The sequence below is a fragment of the Homo sapiens genome, chromosome 12 (genome assembly GCF_000001405.40).
Source record: "Homo sapiens chromosome 12, GRCh38.p14 Primary Assembly".
Taxonomy (NCBI): Eukaryota; Metazoa; Chordata; class Mammalia; order Primates; family Hominidae; genus Homo; species Homo sapiens.
Window position 1 is genome coordinate 27,368,748 of NC_000012.12, and position 27,975 is coordinate 27,396,722.

A 27,975-nucleotide genomic window follows, 5' to 3' on the forward strand; every position below is an offset into this window, starting at 1 on the left:
ATAATAATGACTACTTCTCACCTTACTCGTCATGTATAGAATAACCAACCCTTGGTTATCTGTGGTCAGTTTAATCATATAAAATTCGTGCTTTCCCTATTTATTAAGTCAAATTGATAATAAAGTCAATGTTGAGAATGCCCACTATCTCCCTATTTATTTTTGTTACCCCTGCAGCTTCAGTCCTAAATATTCTTTAATGACTTCCCCAAAGCTAGAGTTTATATGGTGAAAACATCAGGGCAAGCCAGGTGCAGTGGCACACGCCTGCAGTACTAGCTACGCAGGCGGCTGAGGTAGGTTCGTTTGAGCCCAGATGTTTGAGACCCGCAAGACCCCATCTCTAAATAAATAGGTATAAAATTTAGAAAACATTAAGTAAAAGTAAAGATAGCCATCTATAGCAACTCATCGTAGGCTGGTACTTTACATAAATGTGAGAGTTGATGACAGTTATCCATCATGAATGAAAGGAAAAATCCTGAGTTGGGAGTTGGAGGTCAAGATAAGGACATAATAAAACATCCTAGCTCTTTTTTTTTCTTTTTTGGTGGGGGGGGTGGTATTCAGCTCTTTATTTACAAAGTGGGCACATGCTAGCTCTTTTTAACTCAGTTCTTCCCAATACACTTTATAATTTAGCTTCAGTTCCCAAGGCAGTAAATACTAAAGCACTTCCCACGCCACATATAAATGATTGGAAGGTTTTCTACTGTTTTTGGTTGTCTCTATTCCCTTAGTCTCTTCCATTAACATGGATGCTTCTGAAAACTATAGTTGATGAAGTGACAGTCTTTTTAGACTATGTAGCTGTTTTCCATTCTAAATTATCAGTCAGTAGCTCCCACTTATCTTGAACTGAAAGTGACTGTTAGTTCTTTTTATTTTCTTCCTTATTCTTCAGAATCATAGGCACCATTGTTCTTTCTTGGTGTCTAAATATGATTTTAGCAATTGAAGTAGAAACAGTGAATATAGAGGTAGCCCAGCTTCATGCCACATGGAGGGCACAGATGAGACCTTGCAGTGGTTTGGGGGTGAAATGGAAAGTGGAGTCAGTGCTAGCAAAAATATAAGAAACATGCGAAGTACTGACAGTATGGCATTTTTTTGTCAGCAAGCAACACTGAAGATTATTTAGGTAACTACTCACATTTTAGAAAAGGAAGAAGCTAGAACTCAGAAATGTCAAGCAGTTTGCCCAGCATCACACAGCTTGTTAGAATGCCTGATTCCAGATGTGGTATTTTCTCCACTTCACCCAGCTTCCTATCACTGGGTAGCTGGACACAGTAGGCTACTTTCTCCACTTGAGGACAGGCTTGCTGTCCATTCCCAGAACATCTGGGTAGGGGGTGACCCAAGGCCTCCTTCCTTCCAGGTCAGGAATCATGACAGAAAAAGTGGTGGAAAAGCTTTCTCAGAATCCCCTTACCTATCTTCTTTCAACAAGGATAGAAATATCAGCCTCCAGTGGCAGCAGGTAAGTCCTGGACTGTCTTTGACATACTCTCTCCCCTACTTGAAGAGGGCATAGAGTGGCAGTGAAAACATGATACACGTCCCACTGATTTGCTCATCATCTATCCCAGAGCTTCTCCTTCCTGCCCCAATCCTTCCTTTATCCTACCAGATTCTATTCCCTTTAATGAAATTATGGATGTCAAAGTACGTGGTGCTGACTATATAGTGTCTTTCCCCAGGACTCAGTGCAGGAAAGCCAGTCAATAGGTGAGAGGCTGATTTCACTCACATAGCCTCAGAGTGCTGGATCTTTTTAAAAAGGAAAAATATATGAGAATGTCCACCCTTTCTGTGGCACTGTTGGTTTTGAATGGAGAGCTGGTTCTTTTTTGTTTTTTGTTTTCTGTTTTTTGAGACAGAGTCTCACTCTGTCGCCAGGCTGGAGTGCAAATGGCGCAATCTCGGCTCACTGCAACCTCCGCCTCCTGGGTTCAAGTGATTCTTCTGCCTCAGCCTCCCGAGTAGCTGGGACTACAGGCACCCGCCGACACACCCGGCTAATTTTTGTATTTTTAGTAGAGATGAGGTTTCACCATGTTGGCCAGGATGGTCTCAATCTCTTGACCTCGTGATCCACCCACCTTGGCCTCCCAAAGTGCTGGGATTATAGGCATAAGCCACCGCACCCGGCTGGAGAGCTGGTTCTTTAGAAGGGTCTTTGATGAATCTGTGGAATGTAGTCATTAAACATTTATTGGGTTGCTACTATGTGACAGTTAGTAGACTAGGAGAGACAGAGACACAAAGGTACGAGAAACTTGTGCAAGTGGAAAAGATACAAACAATTATTTTACATCATCATAACTGCTATAATAGAGACCCTGGGTACTATGTCAGCAAATAAAGTTGGGCATTTAAATAAGATTTAAATGCTTCCTGGAAAAGTTGACTTAAGCTAAGTTTTAAATGAAGAATAGAAATGAGTCTACAGCCAGGTATGATGGCGTATGCCTGTAATCCCAGCACTTTGGGAGGCAGAGGCGGGAAGATCTCTTGAGCCCAGAAGTTCGAGGCTGCAGTGAGCTATGGTCACGCCACTGCATTCCAGCCTGGGTGACAAGAGTGAGGCCCTATCAATATAAAAATACATTTAAAAACAGGAGAGAAGAAGAGAGTCTACAGAGCAGGAATGGAGAAGATATTTTAGGTGGAAAGAACAACCGTGCAGGCATACAGGTATGTAGTTGCATACTCCTGATCAGGAAATGAGTGGTTGTCACCATAGAGCAGAGGGTGCACTTAGAGGGGGGTGAGCTATGAGAGTTGAGGGATAAACACGAACTAAGTCATGAAAGATCTGCTGAACTGAAGAATCTGAAAACTATCTTGAATGCAGTAGGAAAACTGAAGAATTCTAAGCATGAGAAGAACTTGATCAGATTTATATTTTTTAAAGAATTCATTGCCTCTGCACTTTTTCACTTTTTTATTATGGTAAATACATACACACACACACACACATATATATATAAATAACATGAAATTTGCCATTTGAACCACTATTAAGTGTACAATTAATTGGCATCAATTACATTCAGTATTGTAGACCATCACCTCTATTTCTAAAACTTTTAAATCACCCCAAAGAAGAACTCTGTGTCCATAAACAATAGCATTCCCATTCTCCTCTCTCCTGATCCCCTGCTAACCTCTAGTATATTTTCTGGCTCTATGAATTTGCTTATTCTAGCAAATTGCCACTATTTCACGTAAGTGGGAGTCCAAGGTGGGTGGACTGCCTGAGCTTAGGAGTTTGCAACCAGCCTGGGCAACATGGTGAAACCCCATCTCTACTAAAAATACAAAAAAATTAGCCAGGCATGGCGGCATGCGCCTGTAGTCCCAGCTACTTGAGAGGCTGAGGCAGGAGAATTGCTTGAACCTAGGAAGTGGAGGTTGCAGTGAGCCAAGGTCGTGCCACTGCACTCCAGCCTGGGTGACAGAGAGAGACTCTATCTCAAAAAAAAAAAAAAAAAGGTGGAATTATATGATGTTTGTTCTTTTGTGTCTGACTTATTTCACTTAGCATAATGTCTTCAAGTTTCATCCATATTATAGTATGTGTCAGAATTTCATTCCTGTTTATGGCTGAATAATATTCCACTGTGTGTATACACCATATTTGATTTATCCAGTCCTCTGTTGATGGGTTATTTCCACTTTTTGGCTATTGTGAGTAATGCTACTATGAACATTGATGTACAAATACCCGTTTTAGTCCTTGCTTTCCATTCTTTCAGATACATGCCTAGGAGAGAGTTGCTGGGTTATATGAGAATTCTGTTTAGTTTTTGAGGAACTGCTATACTGTTTTCCACAGTGGCTGTATCATGTTACATTCCCATGAGTAGTGTACAAGAGTTCCATTTTCTTCATCCTCACTGATACTTATTATTATTTTTTTTTATTTTTTATTTTTTGAGACGGAGTCTCGCTGTGTCACCCAGGCTGGAGTGCAGTGGCGTGATCTCGGCTCACTGCAAGCTCTGCCTCCTGAGTTCACGCCATTCTCCTACCTCAGCCTCCCAAGTAGCTGGGACTACAGGCGCCCACCACCACACCTGGCTAATTTTTTGTATTATTAGTAGAGACGGGATTTGACCGTATTAGCCAGGATGGTCTCGATCTCCTGACCTCGTGATCTGCCCACCTCGGCCTCCCAAAGTGCTGGGATTACAGGCGTGAGCCACTGCGCCCAGCCAATACTTATTATTTTCAATTGCTTGATTATAGCCATCCTGGTAGGAGGGAGTGGTACAGTCTTACAATTTTCAAAGAATCACCCTGGAAACAGCATGGAGGATGAGCTGAAAGAAGAAGACCCAGCAGGCAGAGAGAACAACAGAGAATAGCTTTTGCCAAGGACGAGGTTTTCTGAGCATCGATCAAAGAGAGTGGCCCTGGACAGGAAGGGCAGGGAAAGGAAGGGACATATGACACACTTAGAAGATAGGATCAATAGGACTTCATGATTGTTCACTGGGGAGAGGATATAAAGTGTGCCCACGTTTTCTGACTTGGGCTCCTAGATGGAGGGTGGTATTTTCATTCACTTAGATTGAGGCAAAAATGATGAGTTCAGTTCTGGACACACTAAGAATGGGATATTTATAGAACCTTCAAACAGGAAGTTGGAAATGAGGATTTGGAGCTCAGGGTAGAGGCCTGGCCTGGAGTTAGAGACTCAGACATCATTAATGCACAAAAAGTACTTGAACTGATGATGTGGGTGCCATCACTGGGAGAAGCTGATGGAGTGGGGAGACTGGGGGCTGAGGATATACTCTGGGGGTGCTGACCTAAAGATAGTACAAGATGAGGGGAAGCCTGCCCAGAATATGTGAAGGCATGGCTCTGAAGTGGGAGCGGCACACAGAAATCAAAGGAAGCACGTTCCAAAAAGAGGAATGCCTGAAAAATGGCAGATCTGGGGAATATTTTGAGATTGCATCTGCGTCTAACTTTGTCTTTGGTTGATTTAGAAAGAATGCCTACATTTCATTCAAAATGCAGTGAAAATAGTTTTCAAGAAAACTGCATTGTATTTTGAAATTCTATTACTGTAATGTAAGGTTCTACACTAAGAAAATGTAGCCCAGTAATGTGACCATTATTAATATCAGAAAGCTTATTAAAACACATTTGTAAAAATTTGTAAAATATTAGGATTATAGACCAAATTTACTAACTATCTAGATTTGTGCTACAAACAAAGAAATGAATTGTTTGACTAAGAAGATCTTGCCTTTGTTCTATTCTGCCAGGGGCCATTAAATAGAAGGGTATTTGCATTTAGTAAGTACAGTACATTTGAATTTCACCAAGGAGGCAAATTCACTCAGTGAGTTCATTTGCTAAAATGCCAATGATCAAAGCAAAGACATGATTTTAAAAGGTCAAAGTTTACCTTTTGAAATTGAAGTAATGTATATATACATACATATATATAGTCAGTCCTTCATATCCATGGGCAACCAACCAAAAGTTGAAAATATCCAGAAAAAAAAAAGCAAGTCTGTATTGGACATATCCAAACTAATTTTTCTTGTTATTATTCTCTAAACAATACCATATAACAACAATTTACATAGCATTTACATTTATTAGGTATTGTAAGTAATCTAGAGATGATTTAAAGTATATGGGAGGATGTGCATAGGTTGTATGCAAATACTGTGAAGAGACTTGAACATCCACAGGTTTTGGTATCTGCAGAAGGCTCTGGAGCCAGTCCCCCATGGATGCTGAGGGACAATTATATATAATTCCAGACTATTAGGAAGAAAATTATTCATCTGTATAATTGTTTTCTGATTATTCCTTTAAGATGGCTAAAAAGAGAAAAGGGAAAAGAAGCTGACTTAATCTGACCCTCTCTTTTGCCTCAGAGAGGCTGTTTAATTTTATTTGTACCAACCACACAACAGGCTGACGGTGGTGAGAGAAATGGCCAGGTATGGTGGAAGGCGCACCAGCCTGCATTGAGTAGTCTTCACTTGGCCTCCACTGGTTATAGGACCTTGCACAGTCATTAACTTTACTCAACTCCTTCATCTGTAAAATGGGGGTAGTAATAACTTCACCACTGTGCTGTGAGAATCAAGTGTGGAAATATTTTTGATAAAGTACCATAAATATAAAAGCTCTTCTTGATTGAAACTGTGAAGAGGAAAAGCACCACTTGATTAAGCATTTGTCTTCGTGGTCTTTTTTATTTGGAATATTTATAAGCATCTATTTATAAATTTGATTAAATTTTCTATAAGTGTTATCTTTTTTTAAGTAGAAAAATACTAAAACCTCAAAAGAGTTCAACTGAATAAGACAGTTCTAAAGTAGGCCAGCCTTTCTTCAAAGCCTGAAAAATATTCATTGTTAAAAATCTGTAAAGAGGGAAATTTGTTAAGATGAATCAGAAGCTTTAAAATATTTATCCATAAATTGTACTTCTAGGAATTTATCCTAGAGTATAATTCAAGATGCACACACCACAATATTATTAGCCATATTATTTATGATATTGAAAATATTAGAATGTTGAAATATCCAACAATAACAAATGAATAAATTATAACTAATCAGTGGGCTACTATTTAATCATTTCAAATTATGTTATCCAAGAATATTTGAAACTACGCAGAAATATTCATGTTAGAGTGTTAAATGAATAAGACAAGACATGAAAATTATATACTATGATCTGAGTTTTATTTATTATACATGTAGAACACACAGAAATATCTACATGGTACCCATGCACCATGGCTAAGCTAAATAATCATTGTATGTATCTACATGTTTAGGAAATGCTGGAAGGAGACACATTAGAATATTAACTGTGATTACTTCCAGGTGGCATTATGGGTGCTTTTCCTGGAATTTTTCAAATCTCCCACAAAACGATACATTTGGAAATAAATCTTTTAAGATTACATATTTTTAAAAGCTATGCAGCCTGCATGATTTTTAAATGCTGACAGTCTTCTATCACTACCAACGTATTTCATTTTAGTAATCGTCTGCTGAGTACATTTCTGATGCTAGGAACTATACTAATGTGAAAATTAATATTATTGGTAAGAGTTTCCAGTTTTCAATATTGGTTACCATCCAGGTGGATTTTTAGGCAAAATAAATTCCTTTTGATTAAAGGTCTGGGATTCTTAATCCATTTTCAGGCTGTTTTAATACAGCTATCATAAAGTTTTTGGTTAAGCCATCAATGATGTTAATAACTTTAATGTTAATTCTATGAAAATCTTATTCTTGCTTAAGTTTGTCATGAGATCATATCTAATTATGTAAGTAGCACACTAATTATTGTTCACTGTCAGTTAACATAACTTTTGTTATCCTTATGGGAATGGTGTTGCCTGTCAGCGTTAGGAGGAGAATGGTTCATGTAGACAGTAAGAATCATTTCAGGTCATTAGGTGCTCAAGGGAGCATTTACAGCTAAGGATTTTATAGGAATTAGGATGATTGATTGGACTTAATCTCACATCTATTTCTCTATCAAGAACTACAGAAAAGGTACTTCATGTAGTTTGATATTTTATCCTGCTTTTTTGTAGAGTGGAAGATGGTGAACACCAAGTTAAAATGAAGGCCTTCAGGTACAATTGACTTGTTGAGATGGTACATGGTGAGTGGAAAGGTACACAAAGGCAAGCCTGTAGCCTAAGGCAAAGGTGACACCAAGGTAGAAGGGCTTGAAGATGAGGCTTTTCTCTCTTGTTATGCTCTGAGAAGCAATGTTATCAGGCACCTGATGTCTTGCTTTTCTGTCTACTTGGATAACATTTTGGCTTTCATGCCTTTAACTTTCTCTTAGAATAGCTTAAAAAAAAACCTATTATTTTCTTCAAGCACTAAAGAAAAATTGATCAATGACTTAAACAAATCAGTTACTTATGAGGGGCATCTGACTGTTAGAAACCCATCCTCGGCCTGGCGCAGTGGCTTACACCTGTAATCCCAGCACTTTGGGAGGCCGAGGCAGGTGGATCACGAGTTCAGGAGATCGAGACCATCCTGGCTAACACGGTGAAACCCCGTCTCTACTAAAAATACAAAAAATTAGCCGGGCGTGGTGGTGGGCACCTGTAGTCCCAGCTACTCGGGGGGACTGAGGCAGGAGAATGGCGTGAACTCGGGAGGCAGAGCTTGCAGTGAGCCGAAATCGCGCCACTGCACTCCAGCCTGGGCGACAGAGCAAAACTCCGTCTCAAAAAAAAAAAAAAAAAAAAAAAAGAAACCCATCCTCATGAGTTCTTTGTCAATTATTTCAACATATTTTTTCAACAACAACAATAAAATATTTTTCTACATCTGGCAACATCGCCTATCAGAGTTTTGCTTTTTCTCCACTTATTTTGTTTTCTGATAGGATTCTACAAAATACTGCCATGGTTCAACATGGCAGTAACTGTACACAGAATTAGGAGCCAGAGCTCTGATGAAGTATTAAGCAGAGAGCTAGCCTCTGGATAAATATGCCTTTCCTTAATGAAAGCCTCCAGAAACCTTTTCGGGTGTAGCTCTTTCAAGTAAAGTACTTTATTCAGACATTGGTTCTTTCACCTTGCCCTGGGTTTCCTGGCTCCCAGCATCATCATTGACCTTCTCCACAGTGGGCTTTCTCCCACCCTGCTCTCATCTCTCTCCAGATCCTGGCTCAGAGAGAGCACCCCTTCCTCTGCTGTACATCCTGGAGTCAGGAGTCTCTATCCATCGCTGCTGTCCATGCTGATGGGGAATACTGTTAGAAGAGATGATCCTTCTAGTGAGAGTGTAACTACAATATTCTTTTAATCATAACATTTTAATTTTAATCAAATTGCTCTGTAATCCCAGCTCCTTGGAAGGCAGAGGCAGAATAATCATTTGAGCCCAGAAGTTTGAGGCTGCAGTGAGCTATGATCATACAACTGCACTGCAACCTGGGCAACAGAGTGAGACCTTGTCTTTAAAAAGATAAAGAAAAAAATCTAATTGCTCACAAATAGAACAAAGTATGAGTAGATAACTGAATTTTATGTGAATACAATTTAATCTGAATCCTATCCACTTCGCCCAACAGTGTGTATTTTGTTCCAGGAGTGTCATTGCCGAGGGTGAATGGTTGGGGCAGGGGGTGTGGTAGCTCCCACAGCCTTCATCGGTGTTCCTCCCTACCCACCTCCCTACTCTTATCTGGAAAAATTACACTTTCTTTTATCCAATTTAAAGTCTTTATAAAAACAGATCAGGGAAGTCTCCCACTTACCCTCTTTCTCATCAGATTGCCCCTAAACTATTCTAATAGAGAAATTCTGGAGTTGCTGTGTGTTGTAGGAGAGGGATTTACAGCAAAGTGTGACAGGTAAAATCATGTAATTCTTGAAATCTAAGATACACTTTTCTCCTCTACGTTTTATCTTCTGTGGAAATTTCTTATCATCAGTGGCATCTTCCTGTCAATTGGCAGCATTTCTTTCTCTTGTGATGCTTTAAATAATAGTGCGTCTTACAATTGGTGGCTCTTAGATTTGATGAAATAAGGGTAGTGGTATGAAAGGTACTGAGGTAGCTTAGAGAGAGCAGTGATTAATCATGTAGTAGTCAGAGAAAGCTTCCCAGAAGAATAACTGAGTTGGATTTTGAAGAAAGAATAGGATTTCTCCAACAGTATAGTCAGAAAGGACTTTGTAAGCCTGGTAAAGAGCAAGGCATGGAGGAGATGTGAGACGGTATGGCATGTGTGAGGATGAGCAAGTCTTCAGGCGTTGCTGCTGTGGAACATTTGGAGCTGTCGGGGAAAGTCTTGAAGAGAGAAACTGGAGATGAAGACATGAGGCAGATCAGGGAGAACCCTGGCCTATAATTAGGGAATCTGGCTAGTCCTCTTGGGCAGTGGAAATGCAGTGAATAGTTTTATGCAAGGGGATTAGGTGACTGGATTTGTTTTACTACATAATTTTGGAAGTCATAGAATAGACTAGGAGAGGAAGGAACAGCAGTTTAAAAGGTTTTGGGGTAATGCAATGAGCCTAAATTAAGATGATGACAGAGGGGATGGAGAGGAAGAGAAGACATATTTAAGAAATATTTTAAGATCTAGAATTGACAGGAGTTTGTGATTCTTTGGCTTTTTAGGGTGAAGAGGAAGGGTCTAAACCAGGGGTATCCAATCGTTTGGTTTCCCTGGGTCACGTTGGAAGAAGAAAAATTGTCTTGGGCCACACATAAAATACACTAACACTAATGATAGCTAGTGAGCTAAAAAAAAAAAATCTCATAATGTTTTTGGAAAGTTTATGAATTTGTGTTGGGCTGCATTCAAAGCCATCCTGGAGCACAGTTTGGACAAGCTTAGTCTAGATTGAGTCTAGTTGTGTTACCTACCAAGATAAACCCTATAGAAGGAAGATAAACCCTATAAATCAGGAGTAGTACAGGAAGAATTGAAAATGGGGGTACATCGCAGAGAATGCATGCAGTTTGGGGTTTCTTGAATTTTAGATTTCTTGAGAATCATTTAGGTTTATAATTCTAGTTCCAAAGGTCAGGAACTGAGTGAAGTATGAATGAGATAGGGTTATAATAACAAATAGCTTATGAGTAGCTGTAAAGCCTTGTGAGGGAATGAGATCTCAGGGTGAATAAAGAGTGAGGAGAGAGCGGTGCTAAGCAGGGAATCTTAGTGCACACCAGTATTTAAGGATCAAGTAAGAGCTGGGTGAGGAGACGAGGGGACTGAACCGAGCAGGGAGAGTGGAGGAGGACCAGGAGGCAGAGAGGCTGTGGAGACCAGGGGAGAATGAGAAGTGTCAGCAGTGTCAGATTCAAGGCAGGGATCAGCAAGAGATCGCAAGAGAGAAGGAGGATCTTCGCTGGGACAGTTTTAGTGGGGCAGGGGTTGTGGAAGGTTAATGTTACAGATGGACAGATGCCTGGGAAATGAAAGATTGAGTGGAAATTGCACTCTTTCAGGGAGTTTGCTGAGGGGGGAAGACGGTAGCAAGAACAAAAAACAACTAGAATTAGTGAAAGGGTTTTTTTTTTCAGGGGGAAGATACTTGAGCACATTTATAGACCCATGATAAGGAGCTATAAAAATAATGAGGTTAAGATGCTGACAACTATTTATGCAAATACCAGAGAATAGTTAGCTTTGAACAGAAGGGCACCCATCTCTTCTCTAATATTGGAAACAGGTGGAAAAACCACCTGGGCTCTCAGACAGATGTCTTTGTTTTTAAATATTTCAGAAAATGAGGTAGGGAGGGACTGACCAAGGGCAGCGAGTTTTATGAATGCTGTTCCTGGTCTCAGCAGCGCTTTCCTCTTCCCTCACTGACAACTGCAGGGCCCAAGTGGGGAGGAAGAACAGTGTGTGCCTGCTGGGCTCAGCATCTGCTCCAGTGAGCAACACGGGGGTGACTGGGGGTCTGCTGAATGTTAAATATAAAGGAAGTTCCTTTTCCCTCTTAGAGAAGCTCATAGCCAAACTGAAAAGCGGAGGAGAGATAAAATGAATAACCTGATTGAAGAACTGTCTGCAATGATCCCTCAGTGCAACCCCATGGCGCGTAAACTGGACAAACTTACAGTTTTAAGAATGGCTGTTCAACACTTGAGATCTTTAAAAGGTGAGTTTGACGATGGCTTCCACACTTCGATAAGTGAAATCTGCTCTGTCACTGAGGTCTCTGATTGGTTCGCTTTGCTGTCAGCTGTTGAGGTTCTATCCAGATGTGTCTTTCAGCTTTAGAGGTATTCACTGGCATTTGTCTATAGTCTGTATGTGGAGAGAATACTGAATTGGATGTCAGAAAACTTGGTTCTGATAAAAGCTTTTTCTCAAGCTCACTATACAACCTTGAAAGGTATTTACATTTCTTCTTCACATATATTATGAAGAGAATATCACCTGCCTTTCATACCTCTCAATTCTTTAGAAGTTCTGAAGTTGAGCTGGGCGTGGTGGCTCATGCTTGTAATCCCCGTACTTTGGGAGGCTGAGGTGGGCGGATGGCTTGAGTCCAGATTTCGAAACAAGCCTGGGCAAAAAAATGCAAAAATTAGCCAAGTGTGGTCTTGCGTGCTTGTAGTCCCAGCTACCTGGGAGGCTGAGGTGGGAGGATCGCTTGAGCCTGGGAGGTGGAGGTTGCAGTGAGCAGTAATCATGCCACTGCACTCCAGCCTGGGTGACAGCCTGTCTCAGAAAAAAAAAAAAGTTCTGAAGTATAGTATTAATTATTAAGTTATTGAGAGATTTCTATCCTTCAAAAAGAAAACTTCCTTAAACTCTGCAGTTTCTCTTAAAGCTTCATTCAGATTTACGAGTAGTACCTTATAATGCATCACATGTTGCCATTCAGAGTATCCTCAAATATGTGAGACACTGGGGGAAGGAGGTCCTTGCCACTGCCTCTTGGTGTGTGGGTGATCATTTCTGGCTTTAGCAATTCCCCAACTTGAGCTTGAATTTTAAATCAAAGTGTAATAAATGTATATGTGTACCTGTGTATTAGTCCATTCTTGCATTGCTATGAAGGAATACCTGAGACTGGGTAATTTATAATGAAAAGAAGTTTAATTGGCTCCCGGTTCCACAGGCTGTGCAGGAAGCATGGTGGCTTCTGCTTCTGGGGAGGCCTCAGGGAGCTTTCACTCATGGCAGAAGGCAAAGTGGGAGCCGGCATCTTACATGGCAGGAGCAGGACCAAGAGAGGGTAGGGGAGGTGCCACACACTTTCAACAACCAGATCTCATGAGAACTCACTATTGTGACACAGTATCAAGGGGAAAATCCACAAGCATGATCCAGTCACCTCCCACCAGGCCCCACCTCCAGCACTGGGGATTATTATTCGACATGAGATTTGGGCGGGGACACAGAGCCAAACCATGTCAACATGTGCGGTAGAAATCACCCCTGTTTTGGGAATAGCCCCAGTCCAACTTGGGTGAAGTGGAATAGAGTTTTCGATTTACCAATGCCGATGATGTAAATTTGCACTGAAAAGATAAGACCTGGCCAAGCAGCAAGCTGAAGACTCCAGAGGAGACTCTGCAAGTTCAGATTTGTAAAGATCTAGAAGATTATAGTGAAATTTGGCTCAAAAATCATAAAAAGGGAGTGAGCAAAGGATGACCAAGGGTCTTAGTTTAGATCTCAAACACTGCCAGGAAAAGGAAAATATATTTCAGGGTAATGGAAATTATCTGGGCACCATGCAAGGTATGGTCAAGTCAAGTTAAGGTGGCTAAGAGGAGAGCAGCACTCACCTAGACTCCTGGTGCTTCCTGTTGGGAGCATGATGGGAGATCTTATTTTCATAACAGTCTGTTGTGAAATAAGCTTCTCTTTTACCCACAGCTGAGGCTTGCAATATTTTCCTTAAATCCTTCAGCAATGAAAATTTACAGGCTCAACTGAGGTCATTTGATTGCAACCCTGAAATTAGCTGAGTATTTTCACATTAGCAGTGTCCTAAGGGAGGAAGACCTAAGGGAAAAGCCATGAATCAGTCGACTAGTTCAACAAAACATGATCTGAGCATCAACCGCATTCCTGTTCTGTGCTGAGAATATAAAAATTAATGAGGCAAGATCTCTGCCCTTTAAGGGTTTGTGGTCTGACTAGGAAGACTGACTTAGGAAGAGATCGTCAGAGTCTGGTGCGATGAATGTTACAGCAGTGGTTCGAGTGAGAGGGGAGGCTGTGAAAGCTCAGCAGGGAGGAGGTGAGTCCAGAGGAGATTCCTTGGAACAGGGCGTAGATTTTGCCTCAGCTCTGCTGAACAGAAGTGACATGGTTAAGTACTCATCCCCGCAGTCTGACCAGATCCTTCGGTCAGTGCTGCTCACAAGCAAGATGATTTAAGGCAACTGGATCTGCATTCCAGGGTATTGTCACAGCATCCCCACACTTGCTCGGCAAAAACTTAGAAGCCAGATCAACAGAGGGCTGCCTGTGGATCATGTTATTTTGGTCCATAGCATAATTAGGTTAAAGGCAGAAGGATGGTGATGTGATTTTTTTCACTATACTCTACAGCAGTGCTTTTTAAACGATCTGGATGAAGAACAGGTGTTCCCCCCATCCACCACTAGTTCATTGTAAAATACAGTTAATTATGGAAAAATGATCATGGGTTTGGCTGTCACAGCAATGTTATGTTTTTATAAAAGCCTCTAAATACTTCTTAAATTCTGCACTTGATCTCACCACAGTTTGCTGATGACATTGGTCTGCAGACCACATTTAGAGTAGCCCTGCTCTGCAGCATGAGGTCCTGTGTCTGCAATCTGATTACCAGGCGGGGCAGTGAAGCACAGTGGTTCACACGCATGCGTCCTGAAGGCAGACCTTGTGGTTCAAATCCTGGCTTCCTCCCTTTATAGCTATGTGACTTACTCAAGTTATTTGACATTCTAATCCTCAGTTTTCACATCTGTGAGATAGGGATGCATTTGCCTCCTGGGACTATTGTTAAGAGTAAAGAGTAATGCATGTAGAGTACAGCACAGTGTTCAAATGGTGGGGATGGGGTCAGAAGAGGAAGAGGAATTGTTACTGTCATTTTGATTTTTTTTTAACCCAATGAACATTGTGAAAAAAGTAAGTGATCATGTTGCCTCGTTGGTTTTTGCCATGGGAACTCTGAGAGCCAATGTGTGGACAAGTGTGCAGAACACCATGGCATGCATTTACTGGCCAGCCTCTACCATGCCTCAGTGCTGCTCTCACTGCCCTCATTTTCTCTCGAGCACATCCCCACTCACTCACCGAGTCAGGGCTCGCCTGTGATGGCTGATGTACACCGACGGGGTTTCCCAGCCCACTTCTGCCTGGTATGCTCTGCCAACCTTGCTGCAGGCCAGACCTGAAATGTCATTATCTTGCTCAAAATCAGTTTACTGCTGTTCCCTGACCTAGCACTCAGAGTCTGCGTTCTTCATTCCTTCCTCAGCTCCCTCCCAAGCTGCTGTGTAGTAATATTAGCAAGAAGTCATTGGGAGAATTCCCTGAGCCCTAGGATGAAGATAGATTCCAACAGAAGAGATTTTCTTTTCCCTATGCCAGGCTCTTAAGAGTGCTACGAGTCTGAGAAAACTGTACTGAATCATAGCATGAGGCATTTTGTCTTTCTGCCCTGCCCACTTACTTTGCCACCACCACCACCACTTAGTTCATTGGTGAGTTTGGGCCACAGATCCGTCCGAGGGCCAATGTGTGGTTAAAATGTCTAAGGATGTTACCCCACCTTTCCCCTGCAAAAGCAACTTCTCTTACAGTACCCAGGAAGAAGGGATAGGAGTCAAGAAGGTTGGGGAATATAAGGAAGGGAAAATTGACTTACTTCTGAATCATCCTTGCCCTGGGGATGGCTTGCTTGGCTTTGTCGTCTGTGTCATACGCCCCCTTGTGGCCATGAAGGGCTTTGCGAATCTGGGTTGGTGGATTCCCTTACTCCTCCCAGGTCAAACATTTCCCTTGGTTTTGGCCTGATAATTCCTCATCATTTTGCAAGCTCTTCAGCTGCTTTAGAGACTTTCATTTTAATATAACTCAGTGCTAAGGGCTGAAAATTAATTATTTCATTTATATTTTATACATTTTTAAAATAATCTGTGTATTATCAGAATAGAGGTCTCTATATTGCCATTAAAGGATTTTCTTACTGGAAAATCTCATGAATCCGTAACATTTGTTTAGAATTCCAGAATACCCCCATTCAAGGTAACTCATATGATAAATTTTAATTAGCTAAGACATTATCTAAATAACTGTAGTGGTCCCCCCTTATCCATAGGGGCATACATTCCAAGACCCTGGTGGATGCCTGAAACCGTGGGTAGTGCTGAACCCTAGGCATAGTACTTTTTTCCTATGCACATATACCTATGATAAAGTTTAACTTATAAATCAGGCATATTAAGAGATTAACATCAATAATAAACTAGGATAATTATAGCAATATACTGTAAAAATGTTATATGTTCTGTCTTTGGCTCTCTCAAAATATCTTATTGTATTGTGCTCACCTGTTTGCAGGCCATGGTGGACCACAGGTAACTGAAACCACAGCTAACGGGGGACTACTGCATATCAATCCTTGAATTTTATTTCATGTACATTTTATTATAATGTTTTTATATATAGCTCTTAATGTGCATATTTGAATATAAAGGAATAAGTAGTTCCAAGAATTCACAATCTAAAAGAAAGAAATTTTAATCAAGTGATAATGAAGAAAGAAAATGATTAGCTGGGCGTAGTGGCTCACTCCTGTAATCCCAGCACTTTGGGAGGCTGAGGTGAGTGGATTGCTTGAGGCCAGGAGTTCAAGACCAGCCTGGCCAACATAGTGAAAACTTGTCTCTAATAAAAATATAAAAATTAGCTGGGCGTGGTGGCATGCGCCTATAATCCCAGCTATTCAGGAGGCTGAGGCACGAGAATCACTTGAACTCAGGAGGTGGAGGTTGCAGTGAGCTGAGATTGCGCGACCGCACTCCAGCCTGGGCAACAGAGTAAGACTCTGTCTCAAAAATAAATAATTAAATTAAATGAAAATGAAAAAAAAAATGATTACAGAAAATGTCTTAGAATGTGCCAAAGAGCAAATACCAGCAGCAGCAGCATTGCTAATGTTCATTAAGCATTTTGCCCTCTCTACTATATTTCCAATAACTCTTGATGCCTTTCTTTTTAGGCTTGACAAATTCTTATGTGGGAAGTAATTATAGACCATCATTTCTTCAGGATAATGAGCTCAGACATTTAATCCTTAAGGTAACTAAAGATATATTTGTCTAAGTTGTGTATGTGCTTTCATTGCTGTTTGAATAGGAGGCAGATTTTCTTCCATTTGCTTCCTGTTCTAAACATATGGGACTCCATATTACACCGTATTTCCTTTAATATAGAAGTTTAAAATAGAGAAGTAGCCATGCATTACTAGTTTGTGTTAATGAAAGTAGAGACAGAGGATAGGCACTTTCCACACTATGGAGCAAAGCTTGTATTCAGTGCTAAGCATTTTATACTACCCATCTCTCACACATAGGATCTACTCCCCCATGATCACCACCTCCTTCAAAGCCGTCTGCCTGGCATCCTGTTCCCTCAGGATCCTGTTCTTCTCGGAGGCCAGTCACTGCTTACTTAGAGTTGTTAGTGCTTTGACATTTCCGTCCTCATCATTCCTGTGCATGGCTTTTCAGATTCACCGGTCTAGAGGGGAAACTGTGATCATGTGATTTGCTTCTCATGCCCTCGGAGGTGATAAATGTCTTGGTCATGTGCTGTGTGACTACTAGGTTTTAAGCCATAGTCAAATTAAATAGAAGGATTCTTCATACACATTTTTGTCCATTTTTCCTTTAATTAAAAAAAGCCACTCTTTTATTTGAACAGCTGAATTTAAATATAGCATTTCTGGCAGGGATAGAAAGGATATTGTGTGGATAAAAAGGATTTTTGAAGGTGGCAAAATGTACGATTTGCTTTCGAAGCTTTCTCACCAATCTGTACATGCTCGTCAGTCGTACCTTCATGGAACCCTGCTTCTGCCCTGCAGAGCATGCCCAGCAAGAGTGCCAGACTCTTCCTATGTGCCATATGTACCCGCTTCCATGCAGGCTGCTTCATGGGATTTGCTGGGTAGACCTTATGAGAGTAGCTGACACATTAGTTTAGAATGAGTGATGCCTTTTTATTATTCAAAAACTATAACAAGGTGTACAGTATAATGTCTTCATTGCTTCCCTGTCCTCATTCTGCCCTGTCCTTCTACCTCAACACATCCACAGGCAATTGTTGTTCTGCATGCAGTGTAGTAGAATTTGGTAAAGGTAATTTTATTTTATTGTTATTTTTTGAGACAAGGTCTGGCTCTGTTGCCTAGGCTGGAATGCAGTGGTGCGATCTCGGCTCACTGCACCCTCCACCTCCCGGGCTCAAGCCATCCTCCCGTCTCAGCCTCCTCAGTAGCTGGGACTAGAGGCGTGCACCACCATGCCCGGCCAATTTTTGTATTTTTTGTCAAGACAGGGTTTCGCCAGTGTTGCCCAGGCTGGTCTCAAACTCATGAGCTCAAGAGATCCACCTGCCTCGGCCTCCCAAAGTGCTGGGATATAGGCTCATTTAGTGCTGTATTTAGGCTCATATACAGCACCTGGCCTAATTTTAGTTTTTAAGAAATGTCTCAACTAAATATTCTGCAGCCAAACTTTTCATGTCCAAAACATTAATTTAGAATAGGATTTCAACTTGACACTCTTTATAAATCTGTTTGCATCTTAAGAACATTTCTTAAAATTAATTTTACTAGCTCCATGACTACTCTGTTAGTTTTATTGCCACAGTAATTTCCTCAGAATCTGAATGTGTGTGTGTGTGTGCGTGTGTATAAGAGACAGACAATATTTTAAAATATTCACTTTTTTTTTAAATCCTAGACTGCAGAAGGCTTCTTATTTGTGGTTGGATGTGAAAGAGGAAAAATTCTCTTCGTTTCTAAGTCAGTCTCCAAAATACTTAATTATGATCAGGTATCCAAAAATGAGGATATTTTCCATACAATGTTTAATTTTTTGAACAAACACATATTTTTAAGCTCTTTTTCTGAACACCTTCTCCCCACTGGGATATGGGATTAGATTCTGCTAAGTTAGAACTCCAAGAGAGATGGAAAGCTGTGTGGAAAGAGTAAGGATCTTTATGACTGATTGCGTTCCCTTCCTGACCTTCAGCAAGTTACTTAATTTTACTGAGCCTCAGCTTCTTCCTATGTAAAAAGTCAAAATGATTATACCTGTCTCTCAAGATGTAAAGACTAAATGAGGTGTCATATTTAAGAGTGTCTGAAAAGTGTTAGTCACCCTTCTCTGTTCCCTCCAAGAGACACTTTATGGTTAATTATTAAGTTATAATCATTGCATGACAGCCTTTGATCTAATCTCTGGCAACACTCTCTGAAATACATCTTTCATTTAACTAGTTTAGTACTTCACCTCCTTATTACTGAACACCATTTCATGGAAACTAGCTACTCAAAAATTATAGCATTGAAACTAACCCAAGTAAGTGAATAAACTAGCACTAGAAATCCGATAGACTGCAGCACTGTTTTTTAATAACTCACATTAGATTATAAGGGTGTTCAGAGATAATGAGTTAAATAACAGAAATAAGGGAATATTATGAGCCTGTGTACAGGAGGATTGAAAACCGATGAAACCTTCAGCTGGTTATAGCTGGGGGCACAAACCTCATGATTCCACGTTCTAACTGGAGATGGAAAACACACCCACACATGCACACACACATGCACGCACACACACACACACACACAGGTAACTGACAGTTTAGGGTACCACTTAAGTTTCAAGTTAGTGACATGGAATCCAGTCCTACTGGGCACTGACTTTGCATAGAAGAGGCTATTAAGAGACTTACTGGCTGCTCAGGGGCATGTAGGGATTCCCATGATTCAGGATTTAGTCCTCAGCTTTTCAGATTCAGAAACTTGGTCTGCCCTAGAGAGTTCTGGATATAGACTTATATTAACCACACAGTTTTTTTTAGAATGAAACATATAACCGCCAAACAATTCAGCCTGCTTATATCGGCTGGTCCGTTAGTCCTGTTGTCTATAGGAATGTTTGCTTGGGTAATACAGGAATTCAGAAGAGGGGTGGCCACTGTGGGTCAGGAAGGCGTCACACATGAAGTAGGATGTCTGCCAGGCTTGTCAGAAGGAAGGTGTAGAGAAGGGGAGGAAACATTTCAACCTGGGAGAAGGGAGTCCCGGAAGTCTAGGGAGTCAAAGGCAATTTGGCTGGAGTGGCCAAGGGATAGGGAAGGGGTGATGAATTCTGAGGGGTGGGACTGTATCAGCAAAGGCATAGACCTGGGGATGCTGTGCCTTTTGGGAGTGGTGGAATGGGAAGTGAGAGGTATTCTGGGTTGGATTTTACCTATCAATAGTATGGTAATTTTTTAAACTGTATGGTAAATATCTGATAAAGTCACAGATATTCTGTGATTTCTATATTATACTATGATGTAATCTCTTTTTTTTAACAAGGACAAAAAAAGTTCAAAGTAAATCACAATCATTTACAAGTAACATGTTAACAAGAGTTACAAGATTTAGCAGAATACTAGCAATTGGTGTTTGTATATGGTTTGTGTATATCCAGGGATGGTTCTATACGCATGTATTTTTTTCTGTCTACAAGTATCACCCTGCTTTGAACATTAAGTTCATGTCACACAGTGTCGTGGACATATCTTTGAGCTTGAGAAAAATCAATCAAAAATCAAAAAAGAACATTTATTGTATGCATCAAGAAATGTAGAAAAAGCATGGTACTGATTTTAAATGAATGTCTACCTTATGAATAGGCTAGTTTGACTGGACAAAGCTTATTTGACTTCTTACATCCAAAAGATGTTGCCAAAGTAAAGGAACAACTTTCTTCTTTTGATATTTCACCAAGAGAAAAGCTAATAGATGCCAAAAGTAAGTGTCCATTTCCGCATGCTTATTATTTTATGTAAATGTAATGATCACCTAAAAGTTTAGCTACACAGTGTTTTTAAAACAGCTAACTAAGCTTTTATCAAGAGAGAATTGTTTTGTAAACTTTACATCATACTTAATAAATATATATAGCTATATAGAAAATTCCTATATTCATACAGACATATACAAACACAAATTCATTGATATGAAGATGCTTTGGGGAAAATATGAGTGCTTCATATTTGCTATTTTTCATATGCAAATAAAATCTTTACAAGAAAGTATCATTTGGATAAAAAATTGCTGAAGTTCCCATTATTTAGCTATATGCTAAAAGACAATTACTCTCTTTTTTATATGGATTAGGTCTTTTCTGTATGAAAGACCTTGTATAATTGTGTTTGGGAAGTATAAGTATTTTTTTCTTCTCTGAAAATGCCTAGTACCAAATAATTATGTAAAATATAAAACAATTGATTCCTGTAATAGTTAAGGTTTTTTTCATTTTTTAATTTAATTTTTATTTCATTTCACTTAAATTAACTTTGTTCTTCCCCATTTGAGGAAAAAAGAAAGATAAATTGCAAATGTCTGTAAGTTATCAAAATGTGATTGCTTGACAAATACATTTTTTGGGTATATTTCACTTCAGGGTTTACTGTACAATCATGCCATTGCTTTAAAAAACTGTTTCCTTTCTCAATAATAGATGGTCAGAAAATGTTAGGAGATAAATTTCAAAATTATTTGACAATATTCTTTTCCACCTATTCTCTCGCCCCCTTCTGCACGAAAGCTGGTTTGCAAGTTCACAGTAATCTCCACGCTGGAAGGACACGTGTGTATTCTGGCTCAAGACGATCTTTTTTCTGTCGGATAAAGAGTTGTAAAATCTCTGTCAAAGAAGAGCATGGATGCTTACCCAACTCAAAGAAGAAAGGTATCATTTTGAAATGTCAAGTGATGCAAAGCATGGCTATAAAATTAATGTCCTAAATATTTTCTGTACAGAAAAAATAAAATATATGGTCAAGGGAAATATTTGAATTCAAAAGCATCTTAAAAATAAGATTTTTTTAAACCAAAATTACTTACATTTGTTCATCACATCTTTCGAATTTATCAGGTAATTACATATTATCTTTGTTGCCCAAGATTTTAATGGTGTTATTGAAATTGTAGTTTGGGGCCTATCAAGTGGGAAAAAAATGACAAGAGATGGAAATAAAACTTTTGCTGTGAAACTTCATTATTACATTTTAAAATATAAAGGTTAGATGTTAAAAAAACTTCAATAGTACAAGAGCCTGATTTGACTAATTTTGGTGAAAGTTTCTTAAGATGTTCCAGGTGTGATTTTAATTTTTTATGAGATGGTGATTCTTCGGTAAATATCTCATTTGTTTTCTTATGATCCTTTGCTAGATTTTTCTTGCAGATATTTACTTTTTGAATTGATTAAATAGTCATCTATTTAACTTAATTGGGAAATTTCAGGGACTACAAAATGTCTCATGACTTTTTTGCCTAAGAGCATATTAAGCTATGAGATATAGGATTCCATAGGCAAATTTTAACATGGGATTTGCCTTCCTATCCTTTAAAAGGATATTTATATGGAGCCACAAAAATTCAATTAAGTTTTGGTCGGAATCTTTTTTGACAAACACCTGAAACGGTAATTGCTAATACTCATTTATTTAACGCTAACCCTGTGCCAGATACTGTGCTAAGTGTTTTAATCCTCATGAAAACACTATTCTTTTTTTAAAAATTTTCAACATTTATTTTAGATACAGGGACTACATGTGCAGGTTTGTTTCATGGGTATATTGCACTAAGGTAGTGAGCATAGTACCCAGTAGATAGTTTTTCAACCCACACGCCCTTCCCTCCCTTCCCCCTCTAATAGTCCACAGTGTCTGTTGTTCCCGTGTTTATGTCCTTATGTGCTCCATGTTTAGCTCCTACTTATAAGTGGGAACATGTGGTATTTGGTTTTCTGTTCTTGCATCAATTCACTTAGGATTATAGCCTCCAGCTCTATCCACAGTGCTGCAAAGGACATGATTTCATTCTTTTTTATGGCTGTGTAGTATTCCATGATTCATACGTAGCCCACTTTTCTTTAATCCACCAGGGATGGGCACCTAGGCAGATTTCATGTATTTGCTATTGTGAACAGTGCTGCAATGAACATACAAGTGCATATGTCTTTTTGGTAGAATGATCTATTTTCCTTTGGGTGTATACCCAGTAATGGGACTCCTGGGTCCAATGGTAGCTCTATTTTAAGTTCTTTGAGAAAACCCTAAACTGCTTTCCATAGTGGCTGAACTAATTTACATTCCCAACAGTGTATAAGCAGAAAATACTTTTCTTATCTCTATTTTAGAATCAAGTGACTTGGAGAGATTCAGTAACTTGCAGAGAGTCAAATAGGCAAAATTCACAATCAATCATAAACCCCCTACTCTGTGTTATACTGTAAAGAAACAAAAATGGAAATGAACCAGCAGTCCTCAGGGGGATCTGTTTGAGGGCCATCTGTTGCTTCCCTCTTGCCCAAGGCTCTGAGTGGTGGAGAGCTGTCTAACGTCACATATGAAGCTTCCTGGGCTTGAAGTCACAGCCGAAATAGAGGTGAAGAGGCTGTGGAATCCAACCAGTGGGGATCAGATTTTAGCTCTACGACTTGCTAGCTGTGTGATCGTAAGCAAGTTTCTTAATCCCTCTGAGCTTCAGTTTCCATATCTTTAACACAGGAATATTCACAGGACTCTGTGGTTTAGCACAGCAGATAAATGAGTAGGTTCTAGAGCCAAAGGGTTTAGATTTGAATCCTAACTCAACTATGTGACTTAAGATAAATTACTAAATCCTTCTGGCCCTTACTTCCCTCAGTTGTAAAATGGGAATAATAGGACCCCAATAATAGGGTTGTTACCAGGATTAAATGAGTTAATACACATCACGTGCTTAGCCTGGTTCCCAGCATAGTGACACCGATGTTAGGAGCTCTTACAAACACTATTGGAAATAGTCCACCTAAACTCTTAGGACAGTGCAGAGCCGATGGCAGGTGCCATTATTGTCACTGCCCCAGAGTGCCTGTTCTCTCTGCCTTCCTTCCCACATCAGTCATCTTAGTCATACCATAGCGACCAGCTAGGAAGGACATGGCCGTATGATGTGAAAATAGTCTCCAAGGGCAGGAATATTCCTTCTGTGTGGGTGATCCAAGGAGTCAGAATGTGGTATGTTTTACTGTTAGGCTTTAACCAGAGGTGAACCAACACTGTGTTGGTTCACCTCTAATTAATCCATCCATAAGGATCCAATCATTTGTAAATCACCGAATCTACACAGAAATCCGTAAGAGGAAAACATGACAGCCAATAAAACAGCCTTAAGGTGGCTGAAATCTGTAATGTTTGATGCAAGTTATAAATTGAGTAGAGGCTAGAATGGTCAAATTTTGTATGTGTTTTAAAGATGACCAGATTGAATTGTCTTTCCTCCTGGGAGATTTCCCACATGGACTGACTTAGTATTTTAGTCATGTTTGTGTTGGTGTCTGGCTGGTGCCCATTATAACCTTCCATTTTTGTGAAACCTGATTTCGCCCTCTGCCCCCTACCCCATCATCTTGCTCTTTACTGGTAAAGCTTGCAACTCTACAGGCTTCATTTTCAGCCTCTGTATTCTCTCCCCTCCACCCTAATCTAATCCTCCCTGCCACTTCTCCCAGTTTCATTCTCTCTTCTGACATAAGTAAACTTACCCAGCCTTCTCCATCTCAAACCCATATCTACATTCAAACTAATTTATATTCTTGAACTTGAAAATAAATACTTATCTAGGCTGAGCTTCTACTCAGAAACCTCTTGGCAAAACCCCATTCTCTTGTGGCCTGATCTTCCAACCAAATCCACTATCACCATTTGAACTCCTCCCTGATATTCAGGAGAATTTAGGGGCACTGAATAAATACATTTTAAATTATACCTTTAGACACATGGTTCTCAAACTTTAGCCTGCATTGGAATCACCTGGAAGGATTTTTAAAACACAGATTGAATCAGTTTGAGGTGGGGTCCAAGAATGTGCATTTCTAGCAAGCTCCCAGGTGTGGCTGATGCTGTTAATCCAGAGAGCCTACTTTGACAGTCACTGCTTTAGACTCTTTTCTCAAGATTCTCTGAGAGTGTGAGAAATGGTAAGTAGGGATGCCCTGGACAGCAGTGCTCAAGCCTAGGACTAAAGATTCCTCCCTGAGCTGTATTTTCTCCTAGCTTCTTTCACAGTCTTATTTCTGAAAAGATCCCTGCACATTGGCTGTGCTGAGGGGAAAATGATTGGGATAAACCTGAGATCGTTGTCTGACAACAATAGATGTTGGTGAATGAACAGTTTATTGAGTGTGTACTATGTGCCAGGTACTATGCCAAATGCAAAGGACACACTGGGGAGCAGGTAGACAAGTACTGCTGTAGTGGACCTTATGTGAGATGGCCCTAATATGCTAGAGGCAGCCAAGAAACATGTAAACTAATAAGTGGGTGGTGGAAAGTGTGATGTGAATGACATCTTTGCTGAATTAATAATAGTTTTTGAATACTGAAAGATTACTCAGTTTTTTGGTGCTATTCACTTTGTAACAATTACAGACATAACACACTTGTGCAGTGGTGCAGTCATAGCTCACTGCAGCCTCAAACTCCTGGGCTCAGATGATCTTCCCGCCTCAGCCTCCCAAGTAGCTGAGACTACAGATATGTATCACTGCATCCCTCTAAGTTTAAAATTTTTTGTAGAGATGGGGTCTGACTATATTGCTCTGGCTGGTCTCAAACTCCTGGCCTTAAGCAGTCCTCCCAGTTCAGCCTCCCAAAAGGCTAGGATTTCAGGTGTGAGCCACCATGCCTGACTACAACACACAAGTCTGTCTGCAGACCCTGGACATTGAAACCCAGGCATCCCCTCTTTCCAGGAAACCATCCCTGATACCCTCCCAACTCTGGTGGCTTGAGTCCCAGGTACCCACATGAGTAATCCTGAGCTTCTCTCAGATTTGCTGCCCTTCCACACTGTATTGAAATTACTTAACTTTTTAATACTTGCCTCCCACACGAGAATGAGAGCTGCATTTCTGTCTGTTGTTTCTGGCCCATAGTAGACATTCAATAAACATTTCCTGAAGGCATAAGTGACAATCCTCTTGTCCTTTGTTCCTGGGTGACTGCCCATATAACCACTCTCAAATCCACAGGAACGATTATGAATTAAATGAATGAATATACATTATAATCTTTCTCTTTTACCTAAGGAAGCAATTTCAACATTTTTTTTAGATTTTATCTCAATAAGTTTTTAGCAAATGCTGTGGACTGAATTGTCCCCCCAGAATTCGTATGTTGATGCCTTAATTCCCGACATGATGGTATTTGGAGATTGGGCCTTTGGGAGATAATTAGGTTTGGATGAGGTCATGAGGATGAGGACCTCATCATGGGATTAGTGTTCTTGTAAGGAGAGGCACCAGAGAGCTTTTTGTCTCTGCATGAATGCAGTGAGCAAGGGAAGGCCATGTGAGCACACAACAAGTTGGTGTATATCTGCAAGCCAGAAAGACAGCCCTCACCAGAACCCAGCCCTGCTGACACCTCCATCTCTAGGCTTCCAGCCTCCAGAACTGTGAGAAAATAAGTTCCTGTTGTTGAAGCTACCAAGTCTGCTATTTTGCTATGGCAGCCCAACCTCAGACTGCAAATAACTTGCATCATTTTCTATACCGTAGTTCTCATGAGAAAGAAATCTGAAAAGGCTCTGCCCTGAGAACCAAAGGAATCTGGGCCTTGCTGAAAATAAATGTCGGTTAATTAAATTGGCATTTTAAAATTTGGCTTCAAATATGGAACTAGAAGTCACAAAGCAATAGCAGGACTCCACCTTGTCTGGGCTCCTCCTCCTTTCTGTCACCTTTAATTCTTCCTCTCATTGTTTTGTGAAATTCTAGACAACACATGACTGAATATATACATTCTTGGAGGATTTTTCCTAGATATGGGAGCTCAAGTCAGTCACTGATGATAATCTTGGACGTCTAATAATCTGCGGACTTTTAACCCTTTGCAAAGATACAAGAAGGAAAGTGGGATGTCCTCCGTGGAACTGCATAGCCCTGCTATGGTATTTTGAAGTGGTCTTTTAAATATTCAATTTTCAAGCAAAAATGCATGTGTACAGTCATAGGTTTAAGAAAAAAAAACAACCAAGCAGCATTCTTGAGAATGTACTAATCAAATTTTAGTCCTTCCATGGGGTTCCTAAAATGATTTTTTATTGCAAGTTTTACACATTTATAGAAGAGGTAGGAATGATTTCTTTCCTTTGAAATACATGATAATCTTATTGGGAAAATATAGATATTTCAAGAATATCTGGCAAATGGTCAATTAGAGTTAATTCGTAGTTGAATTCTGGGAGGAACTAAAGGAACAAATACATTTTTGAGTTGCTCTAATGTTCCAGGTTCTCCCACTAGACTCTGCCTCCCAACAGCCATGCTGTAGGACAGAGTAGAAAGGGCCTGGGCTCTGAATTCAGTAGGGTTTTAGTGTCAGGTCTGCTTCTTAACAATTGTGCGACCTTAGGCAAGTTTCTCTTAATATATGGAAAATGGGTGGTACAGGGTGAATTGTTTTCCCCCAAAGTTTGTATGTTGAAGCGCTAGGCCCCAGTGTGACTGTATTCGTAGTTAGAGCCTTTAAAGATGTAATTAAGGGTAAATAAGGTTATAAGGTAGACCCCTATACAACATTTCTGTTTTTGAAACCATCCAGTCTGGAATTTTGTTACGACAACCTGAGCAGACTAATACAGTGGGTAATGACAGCATCTCCTGAGAGTGTGGTTAGGATCACCCGTGGCTCATGCAGTGCTTGGCTTCTAGGAAGCACTCAATAAATGGTAGCTATTTGCAGCTCAGAAAGAAGAGAAGAGAAAACAGAGAAAGGAGTGAGTGAATAATTATTAAGATTCTACTATATGCCAAGCATGTTGCATAATTATCCAGTTTAATCTCCCTAACAGTTCTGTGCAGAGCACAGATGAGGAAACTGCACTTTTAGAAGGTTGTGTAATTTTTCTAAAGTCACATATAGAGTGACAGAATCAGCAATCTGGCTTTAAAATCTGTATGCCATGCCACCTACTAGAGTTGCTTCCTAGATGCCGGAAGGTTTTCGTGAAAGAGATTCTGGATGATTTTTGCAGCAGACACACAGCGAGGGAGTGGGCGCCTGCTGTAGGAATGTGTTCCTGCCCACACCAGGATGTTCACTCCCACGCCAAGCTGGGCCACACAGATGCTTGCACTCAGAGGCAAATATCTTTTCAAAAAGGAGTTTTGAATCTGCTC

At 40.2% G+C, this 27,975-nt stretch overlaps 1 protein-coding gene and 1 long non-coding RNA gene across 21 annotated transcripts in view; one reads left to right on the forward strand and one right to left on the reverse strand.

The window, feature by feature from the left end:
* The window catches only part of BMAL2 (basic helix-loop-helix ARNT like 2), a 92,451-nt gene that overhangs the window by 35,912 nt on the left and 28,564 nt on the right, over positions 1-27,975 (forward strand). For 4 of the 20 annotated variants that reach the window (NM_001248003.3, NM_001248005.3, NM_001248004.3 and 1 more), the window contains exons 3-7: positions 11,500-11,657; positions 16,734-16,813; positions 18,481-18,573; positions 20,432-20,549; positions 21,349-21,492. In NM_001248003.3, coding sequence (NP_001234932.1) covers positions 11,500-11,657; positions 16,734-16,813; positions 18,481-18,573; positions 20,432-20,549; positions 21,349-21,492 — 593 coding nt within the window. Of the gene's footprint in view, positions 1-1,381; positions 1,484-2,624; positions 2,701-7,598; positions 7,670-8,693; positions 8,818-11,499; positions 11,658-16,733; positions 16,814-18,480; positions 18,574-20,431; positions 20,550-21,348; positions 21,493-27,975 lie in introns of those variants that run through there. The other 16 variants (NM_001394524.1, NM_020183.6, XM_011520768.3 and 13 more) reach the window with 11 other exon arrangements.
* Positions 21,042-27,975, reverse strand: part of BMAL2-AS1 (BMAL2 antisense RNA 1) — a 56,846-nt gene continuing 49,912 nt past the window's right edge. The window contains exons 2-4 of the long non-coding RNA NR_109975.1: positions 25,677-25,876; positions 21,648-21,742; positions 21,042-21,421 (exon numbers count right to left, since the gene is read on the reverse strand). This is a non-coding gene — a long non-coding RNA (BMAL2 antisense RNA 1). The remainder of the gene's footprint in view (positions 21,422-21,647; positions 21,743-25,676; positions 25,877-27,975) is intronic.